This window comes from Homo sapiens, chromosome 16 (genome assembly GCF_000001405.40).
Source record: "Homo sapiens chromosome 16, GRCh38.p14 Primary Assembly".
NCBI classification, from domain to species: domain Eukaryota; kingdom Metazoa; phylum Chordata; class Mammalia; order Primates; family Hominidae; genus Homo; species Homo sapiens.
Genome location: NC_000016.10, coordinates 86,955,066 through 86,964,917, shown reverse-complemented (window position 1 = coordinate 86,964,917; position 9,852 = coordinate 86,955,066). Strand labels below are relative to the sequence as shown.

General features: G+C 55.1%; 1 annotated feature.

The window, feature by feature from the left end:
* Positions 8,991 to 9,491: an enhancer, noted in NCBI's record as "H3K27ac-H3K4me1 hESC enhancer chr16:86989033-86989533 (GRCh37/hg19 assembly coordinates)". NCBI's record gives its function as "activates a minimal SCP1, AML or CMV promoter by ChIP-STARR-seq in naive H9 embryonic stem cells {active_cell/tissue: H9 hESC(naive)}" and the evidence as "EXISTENCE:reporter gene assay evidence [ECO:0000049][PMID:30033119]".

Sequence of the window (9,852 nt, the reverse complement as noted above, 5' to 3'; positions counted from 1 at the left end):
GCCGGCGGGAGATTTATCACCATACTAGTGGCCCTGACAAGCCTTGGGAGTAAGATGTCATGTGGTCGTGGCGGGGGTGGGGGCGAGAGGGGGTGGGGATGGGGCCTCACCTTAAACATAAATTAGGGGTGAGCAGCTGAGGGACAGCTGCACCCAGTCCCTGCCAGAGCCACACACTGCCCTGGAGGTAACAGTCGTCTCCAGCATTTCCCCAGGGACCATGTAATCCGCCAGCATCCTCACTGGTAGACACTATTTTCCAGCCTATTATACAGATGAGGAAACTGAGGCACAGAGAGGTAAAGTGACTTGCCCCAGGCCACACAGCTGGTAAGTGGCAGAGCTGGGAGCAGACCAGGGGTCAGCCTCACTCTGAGCCCAGCCATTCTAGAAGTGGTCACAGGAGGATTTCAGTCATCCTGCGAAATGCGTTCCTTACCATTTATGGCAGAGAAGCACGGGTGGGCTTGGGTTTCCCGGGCAGCACTGTTTGGGGAAGTGGTTCAGGCTGTGGGGCTGGATGGGCCTGGGTTTGAATCCTTCCTTCCCATCGCCCTGCAGCCCCTAGCTAGCTGTGCTTCCTTGAGCAAGTGCATCTGCCTCTCTGAATCTTAGTTTCCACCTGGAGAGAATGGGGCGATACCGCCCATGCGCCATATGGGTTGTGAAGCTGAAAGCACACGGATGCAGACACTGACTCAGGAAACTCGTAAACCAAGGTCAGCTCTGGGGCTCGGCGGTGGGAGCTCATCCTCCTCCCTGCAGATTCGAGCACAGTCCCCGCCCCTGGCCTGCTGCTGAGGATGCGGCACGAACCAGGAGGGAGGAGGCCTCAGCCCCAAGGCATCTGTGCCACTAGGCATCTCGTGTCTACTTTGGGGGCCTTAGTTTCCCTGTGTCTGTTGGACGGGGGCAGTGGTTCAGTTGGATCCACCCTAGATCCACCTGGCTTCCCTTAGAGATGCTGCTGTAGCTGATCTGGGGTGGGGCCGGGCTTGGATGTAGTATTTAAAAGTTATTGGTTCAATTGTGTCCCTTTGAAAGGCATAGAAGTCTTAATGCCAGTGCTTGTGAATGTAACCTTATTTGAAAGTAGGATCTTTGCAGATGTAGTCAAGTTAAGATGAGGTCATTAATCTGATATGGCTGTGTCCTTACAAAGGGCACGTGGGTAGAGGTATACACAACCCGGGAGAAGCCTTCACAGAGATGGAGGCAGAGATTGGGCCATGCATCTACAAGTCAAAGGAGGCCAAAGAACCCATGACACACCCGATGCCCCGAGAGGCCTGGGACAGAGTCCCCTCACAGCCCGCGGGGAGCCTGCCCTGCTGACACCCTGTTCTTGGACCTGGGTCCTACAGAAACGTGAGAATACGTTCCTGTTGTTGAAGCCCCCAAGCCTGTGGTTCTTTGTTATGGCAGCCTCAGAAAGCAGATGCCACAGTGGGTTTTAATGTGCTGGCCTCTTGGTAGCAGAGAACATCTAGGCCTCCCACCTCCAGCGTCCGCATCCCCAGGGTTTTTCTTGGAAGTGATGAGTTCTGGAGTACTTCGGAAAGAGCCAATTCTAAGGGAGTGGGAGTCTTCTTTCCAAGCTCACCCTTTCTGGGGAGATGCTCTAGAAGAGCAGGGACCTGGTGTTAGGAAGGGGCTTGGTCTTGGGCACAGAGAGGCAGGCGTGGGAAAGGTTACCCGTGGGGCTTCACCCCTGCAGCGGATGTGCGGCTGATAACCTCCATGAGGGAACAGAGGGGATGGGGCAATGCTGGTGAAAAACACTCCGATAAGGCAAAGCAAACAGGCCTGGCTATCGCTCCTGGCAGCCTATCAAAGCCCGGCACCCCACCAAGGCAGCGGGTGTTCCGGGAGCCTCTCCTGGTTTGCAGCTGGTCACACAGCCACAGCATCAGCCCAGCTACCTCTGCATCCACCCACCCAGCACCGCTGAACACGGAAGGAATAATCAGGGGTCCTTGGTCAGTGGTTGGAGACATGGAGGAGCCAGTTCGGGGGTGGAGAATAGAAGGCTAGAGCTGGAGGGAACGAGGCACCTTGGAGGACATTGGAACTCAGGGACGGAGGTGACAGTCACCACTGTTTGCTGGGGGCTGGTCCCCGGGTGTGTGCCGAGCCTTCTAGGTACATCAACTCATTTGTGACACCAATCCCGCTTTAGGGAGGAGAAGTTTGAGAGTTAGAAAAGGGAGGCAACTTGCCCTGTCTTGGGGCTGGTTAGTAGCAGAATGAGGACTAGAAGTCAGTCTCCTCTGGGACCCAATGGTGTCAGTGTCTCCTGTGCACCCAGGGTTTGGTTGATCCTGGGCTCCGGGGTTTGGTTGATCCCGGGCTCCAAGTGAGTGGCTTGGTGCCCGTGGTCTCCTTCTGCCCTCATCCCCAGCCCAGGAGGAGGCCTTGACCCATCATTCTTTATGCCTGACCCTGCTGCATTTTCTTTCACGGCATTTGTCACCATGTGACGTATTTATCTATCCATCTTTTGTTGTGTTCATTTAGTGTCCAGCTCCTCCTCTGGCATGTAAACTCAGAGGGCTGGGCGTTGGTCAGATGGGGTTCCTACTGAAGTCCCAGCTCTAAGATCAGGGCAGGTGGGGACTGAGATCAAGGCTTCCCAAGGGCGTGGCACAGCTGAGGGTGGAGCTCCTCTCCACCTCCTTGCCCCCTGCCCAGGTCAGTTCTTCTTCTCCAGGGACAGGCCGGGAGGCAAGGGCCCTTTCTTCATGTCCTCAGAAGGAAGAATAAAACTCACTGTATACGGTCCAGGGGTGGCCCTCCAACAAATAAGTCCAAGTCATCCCCAGAGTCTGTGAAGCTGACCTCATTCAGAAAGAGCACCTGTGCAGACGTGGTGAAGTTAAGGAGCTCAAGGTGAGATCACCCTGGATTACCTGGCTGGGCCGTAAACCCAATGACATGTGTTCTTATAGGAGACACACAGACAAGAGACACACAGCGAGGAGAGACCACACGAAGACGGAGGCAGAGACTGGAGTAATGCAGCCACAAGCCATGGAATACCTGGGGGCCACCAGGAGTCGGAAGAGGCAGGAAGGGCCCTCCCTTAGAGCCACCGCAGGAAGCACGGCCCTGCCGATGTCTGGATTTGGGACTTGTGGCCTCCAGAACGTGAGAGAGTAAGTTTCTGCTGTTGTAAGCCCCCCAGTGTGTGGCAGTTTGTTGTCCTGGGAAACCGATATGCTCACTCATTGAAACCTCCAGCAGTTTCTGAATGTGTCTTTTGATTGCACTGTAATTTATGAATCGCACAAGCCAGGTAGAAAGTTGGCTCCAGGTCCAGTGTCTGCAAGAAACGCGGGAGTTGCTGAGAAATCAGCCGGCATCACATTCCTGCAGTCGAGGGCAGAGAGAGTTGAGGGGTTGAGATGGGGAACAGATTTCCTTGTAATCAAATCCAGAGGCCGCCTCATGAACCTTATTTCAAGAGACCCTCTGGGTCCTGAGCGTGGGCAGTGAAACGGTGGATTTGATTCCTTCAAGCAGGCAGATTCCTGGGGTTTGGCCGCCCCGGTGATTCCGGGAGAGGAACGTGGGCGAAGCTTGCAAGTGTGTCACTCAAGCAGCTCTGGTCTGTCTCGCAGATGGAGCGAGCAGCTGGCTGCTATCATTCTGCTAATCGCCTCACTGCTGGGACAGCCCCACAGTGTTGGGGCGCTGTGAGGACCTTGCTGGGGCGGGGGGGTTGCTGGAAGCCCCTACCACATGAAGGCTGGGACAAGCTGGGAGCTGCTCCTCATCAACCCGCTGCAAGCAAATTGGCAAAGGGAATGCAACATGAATCTGCTTTCCAACTATGGCAAATGGGGGCCAGAATTCCTCCTTCCGGAACTGCTGCATTGGGTCCTGTGGGGAAGAGTGGAACGCATATTTCAGACAGGAGGATTCAAGTCGAGTATAAGCTGCCCACCAGGGTTGGCCTGGGGTGCTTGGCCATGCCATTTGCTCTCCCAGAGCCTCGGTTTCTCCGTCTTATGAGGGGTACAATAAAAGCTTCCACGAGTGTGGTGTGCGGAAGTGAGGTCAGAGCCGAGCGAGCCTGGGATCGTTGCTGGGTTCAAATCAGGACCACATGCTCTCTGGGGACCAAGGATGCCACCCAATCTCACTAAGCCTCGGTTAACTCTTTAGCAAAAAGGAGATCGTTGGAGCACCTGTCAATAGGATTGTTGTGAGAGCTCAGGAAGAAGTGCGTAGAAAGCCTTTAGCATCTTGCTTGGCACAGAGTGTGGTTCAGTAAATGGCAGCCTAGAGAAAAGGAGAGCTTAGGAAGCCCGCATTGCAGGGATGATGTGAGCAGTAGAGGAGACACTGAACTCAGCTCCTGCTTAAGGGGCCCATTGTGTGCAGGGACTTGCCTGGTGCTTCCTTCCGAGCATGAACTCATTGTACTGTCACTCTCTTACAAAGGAGGCTTTGCTTTGTTACTCTGCATGTGGAGTGTGAGGTCTGTGTATGACCCGGATCCCGGGGACAGACTGAGAACGTCGTTCATCCACTGTCCATCCTACCAGTCTTCTCTGTGCTCCACGAAGCGCTGGGGGAGGGAGACAGAGGAGAGGTGAGCGAACCAGTGAATAGCTAAGATCACTTCCCGTCCTGTTGAGTGCTGTGATGTGGTGACAGGGACACCTCTCCCTCTGTGTCCTAATTCTGTCAGGCTAACTCCTGCACATGTGTTACCCTCTCTAACAGCCCCGCCTTGCAAGTAGTCTTAGGAAGGGGGCAGTGTCATCGGCCACCATTTCACTTATGAAGAAACCAAGGCACAGAGTGGTTAAGTCATGTCCCCAAGGTCATAGGGCAGAGGCAGGAGCTGAATAAGTCAGTCTGCCTCCAGAGCCTGGTCTCCAGTCCCCTTGCTGTATTGTGGAGAGTAAATATGTGTACACATGTGTGCATTCAAGCATGTGCATGCATAGGGGTACATGTGCCTGTGTGTGCATGACCATGGGTGTGATACCACATACTCTAGAGTGTGTGACCAGGAGGCTTTGTCTGATGCAGTGACCTTTGGGCTAAAATACAATGAGGTATCCAAGGTAAGACCTGGGGAAAGAGTCCGTGGCTGAAGGACTGGGGGGTGCAAAGGCTCCTGGGCATCAGCGGGTGGCAGGCAGGGTCCTGCACTACCTCCTTACGAATGTGCATGTTTCAAATCACATTCTGGACACCGAATGGCCATCCCAGCAGATTTGGGGCTGGGTGAGGGGTGGGGATGGGGTAAACAGAGCTGGATTGGAAAGGCCCCCACCTACCCAGAATGGGCTGGGACCCCTGCCTGTTTAGCCTGGGCTTCCAGGAGTACAGTCCTCCCTGTTCCCTGATGGGTGGTCCGGGAAGCTGCTCCCTGACAGCCTTCTGTTTCCTCTTCTCCAAGGCTCCCGGTGAAGCCAAGGCTGAGCCCGCCAGGGTTTCCGAGGGCTGCGTCCCAGCGCGGATCTTTTCCAGCTTCATTCCCCTCCAGGCGCTCTGTCAGCAGCTCCCCCCAGCCCCATCCATCTTCCCCTTCCCCTTCACAGCCTGCCCAGCTCCCGCTCCTTCCAGGCTCCAGCGGGGCCCCTCTCCAGGAGGACGCGGCGCCTGGCCTCTGAGGCCGCCCCGTCCGTCAGGATCTGATCCCCTGGCTGGCCTGGAAAGCCACACCAGGGACTGATGGGTTTCACATCCTCCCCTGCTCAGAGGGAATAGCTGTCTCCCAACACTGAATCTGAGATGCGTTTTTCAAATTCTTTGACAGAATGCTTTTAGCAGAGCCGAGGGGCTAATAAATCTTCCTGCTCGGCATCGCCTTTGTGGAGTCTTGATCAGGAGCTTGGACTCGGGGAGCAGCTCCCGTTTTCTCTTGGAGGCTGTGGGCAACTCAGAGGTGGGGTGGTGGGTTCCCGAGGCCCTGGGAGTCTCAGGAAAGCCATGGTAGCTCTCTTGGAAGGAGAATTCACGTTTTAGAGTTGGAACCAAGGCTAGGGGCAGGGAACTGCGAGGGCATAGCAGGCCTGGTGGTCTTGCCCTTGGGGGGTCCCCATCCAGCTGGGGGAGACAAACACATACATCAGTGGAAAATTACAACTGCCTGAGGGAGAGGCCCGAGATGCTCTGTGAGCTCTTTGTGGGGGTTTGACCCCACAGGGGAGGTGAGTCGGAGCTCCCCGAAGCTCTCAAAACTGGGCTGGTGTCAGGAGGAGCAAGAGTTGGTGAGGAGGGGAGGTGGAGGGAAGGACAGGGCTAGAGAATGAAGCTGTGTTAGTGGAATGCAGTGTGGATGGAACACGCCCCTCCGGCCTCCTGGTCCGTAACTCAGCATTGCACGTACACCAGCACACAGACATTGCACTGGCAAAAGCCATCCAACTGTACATCTATGATGCGTGTGCTTTTCCCTATGTATATTACACTTCCATAAAAGTTTCAAAGGTGTTCGTCACCTCAAACATCTGGCATGACACCAACATGTTAAAAAAAATTGTTGACTAGGTGGAGTGGCTCACGCCTATAATCCCAGCACTTTGGAAGGCAGAGGCAGGAGGATCACTGGAGCCCAGGAGTCCATGACCAGCCTGGGCGACATAGCAAGACCCCATCTCTACAAAAAATAAAAAAAAATTAGCCAGGCGTGGTGTTGTCTGCCTGTAGTCCCAGCTATTCGGGAGGCTGAGGCAGAAGGATCGCTTGAGCCCAAGAGGTTGAGGCTGCAGTGAGCTTTGATTGTGCCACTGCACTCCAGCCTGGGCGACAGAGTGAAACCTTGCCTCAAATAAAGAAATAAAAAGTTATTGTGTCTGACTGTTGGGATTGTGTGGGACTGACATGCCCCATCTTATATTTTCTTATCGATGTGCCTGTATTCTAGCTTTGTCTGTGTTTACAGTGGAGATGGGGTCTCTGAGTGTTTCCAGATGCCTCACTCCCGGCTGGGAAAGGCTCTTCTGCCTGCCACAGCGGAGGAAAGGTTTTCCTGTCACCCCTCATCTCCAGATGTGGCTGTTTATCAGGGCAGCCGGTGAGGGGTGGGCATCCTTGGACCAGGGTTCCGCGCGCAGTATAGACAGACAAGACCAGGGTTCCACACCCAGCATAGACAGACAGGACCAGGGTTCCGCACCCAGCATAGACAGACAGGACCAGGGTTCCGCACCCAGCATAGACAGACAGGACCAGGGTTCCGCACCCAGCATAGACAGACAGGACCAGGGTTCCGCACCCAGCATAGACAGACCCCCTTTTCACAATCGCACTCTGTGGCTGACAGGTCCTGGGAAGATCTTCTGACATTGGCCTTGGTCAGGGAGAAGCCAAGAAAGAAGAGGAAGGGGCTGACGTTGTTGGTTAGGGAAGCCCCTCGGTCCCTCCGGAGGGGAGGGAAGGGGACCACAGCCAGGTCAGGTGGAGCCCAGGTCACCCAGGGAGCTTCCCAGTGTTCCTAGGTAGCACTTTCACACCTGGCTTCCCATCCTGCCGTGGAGGGGAGCCCGGGAGTGCAGTCCTCGGGTGACGTGACATGATCATGATATGACATGATCACATTGGTCCAAGCAGCTGCTATTCAGGAAGTTTCCATCCCATGCTGGCTTCGGTAGATCCATATTGTCCGATGGGACCCCCACCCTCTGGAATGTGGACTGTGCCAGTTTTCCGTGTGAGGACACGTTATTACAAGAGCTAACTTGCCTGAGGTGTACAGTTGGCGAGGGAAGAGCAGGGGTCAAACCCAGGCCTGGCTGAGCTGCCCTCTGAGGGTAAGAGCCCTTAAGTCCATTGAGCTTCACATCACTAACTGCCCTAGGAGAGTTTCCCCGGCATCTTTGACAGAGTGTCTGGATGTTAAATCTGCACAGCTCTATTGAACACTTTTGGTGCAGAGGTCCAATGGTGTGGCCCCTCCCCCCACCTTCCTCCCATCCATTTTGTTATCGATAAGGAAAGCAGAATGACCAACCTTGTTCAAATCCAAGCTCCAGGAGTTACAGGCTGTGTCCTGGATGAGTTATTCTACATCTCCCAGCCTCCTCTCCAGAGATGGAGTTCTAATCGTGCCTGACTCCCAGGGCGGTGGGAGAGCAGAAGTGACAATGCACGTGAACCCCCCTCCACCGGGTGCCCACTGTGCACTCAGCTACGGCCTCGTCTCCTCCTTGGACACTTTCGTGGATCCCTGTAGCAAAGTAGCTGCTGTTTCCCGCCTGAATCGTCACTGTCTGGAGAGTCAAGCATCCCCGCCCTCACTGTCATCACCCTTCCCAAAGCCTTGTCACCGGCGTTTCCTGAAATGCTGCTGAAACCGGAAGTCATAGTCCCCACAAGGCTCTTGCTGAGGGCGGCTCAGCTGGGGCATGGTCTCTTTACGGCAATTTGTCAGCTTTGGTCACCCTCTCCTCAAGGGCCCTAGAGTCCAAGGGGGGCTCAGCTATTGCTGTGTAACGAAATACCCCCAAACAGTGGCTCCCCAATCCAGATCTTGCCTGGGGTCAGCATTGTGGGTCTCAATCAGGATCTCTCACCAGCTGCATGAGATGGTGGCTGGGCCTGGGCTCATCTCAAAGCCTTTTTCTCCGGGCATCTGGGCTGGAATGTCTCAAATGGCTGGGCTGCGGGGTGCTGGGGCGTCTCAGGCTTCTCTCTCCCGGCGGTGGCTTCAGGGCAGCCAGGCTTCTTAAATGGTGGCTCAGGGCTTCTAAGTGCTTTACATGCTTCACTCTGGCCCACTTTATGATGGTCACATTGAAAAGTAATCTGAGCAGGAGTAACAGCATTTGCAAAGCCTCTGAGCTACAGAAGAGCATTGCTTCAGTTTCACTCCCTGAAATGGGAATGGCGTGTAATCCCCTGTGTACAGTGCTGTTGGGTGATTCAAATCAGATGAAGCAGGTGGAGGAGATCCGGGATCTGGAAACCCACTTGCTGTTACAGCCACATGTTCTAGGTGCTTTGCTGTGGCTGCTCCAGGGGAGAGTCCTGTGCAGGGGAAGTCCTGGCTTGCATGGAGCTCATCCTCATGGATGTCATGTGCCGGCTCAGAGTCCCAGGTTGCACTGGAGCCTGGACATGGGGATGTCTGTCACCAAGGGGGCATTTCTTCTGCCCCTTAACACCAGCATTATGAATGGCTCCACTGTGTTTTTCCAACACCAGAAAGAGCTCTCCACATGTCGCCTGTCAATAACAGTGTATTTTCAGCAGCAGCCCAAACCGGGGGAAAGCTGTACTTAAAAGCACATGCCCCGCCTCGCAGCTGCCTGGGCGGAGGACTCAGGGCCTGGATTTGGGGTGGGTCAGAGGGGAGACGGGGGTGAGCTGGAGGTCAGATCACATTTGTTTCTCAGGGTAGGATACCAGGGCCATGTTTCAGAGGCAACTGCTGGTGCCCTTTCCTTTGGAGGCCAGGGGCTAAGCTGGGGGTGCTAGTGCCTCTGCCCCTGTCTATCCATGGCCCACCATGGGGCCGAGCATGTGATCACAGAGCTGGTGGGGTGAGTGCCTGGACCCAGGGCTGCCCCCCTTCCCAGGAGGCCTGGTGCTGGGGCGTCCTGAGAGTACCTGCCTCTGCCCTTCCTGTGGGTACTGCGCTGACCTTGGTCTCGTCTCTGCCCCTCCCAGCTGTGGGGCCTCTGGCACCTTCCTGGGTCCTCTGATCCCTGTCCCCTCCACGAGTGTCGTGACTGCAAAGGGGGACACTGCCCTAGGGGCTACGTAAGGTCCACTCCTCCCTCCCAGTAGCATGAGGAATAATCTAGAACTGGTGTCACAGCAACCGTCAAGGGACAAGATGGGCAGTTTATGCACTTAATTTTCCTTAATATCTTTTTTTTGCTCCCGGCT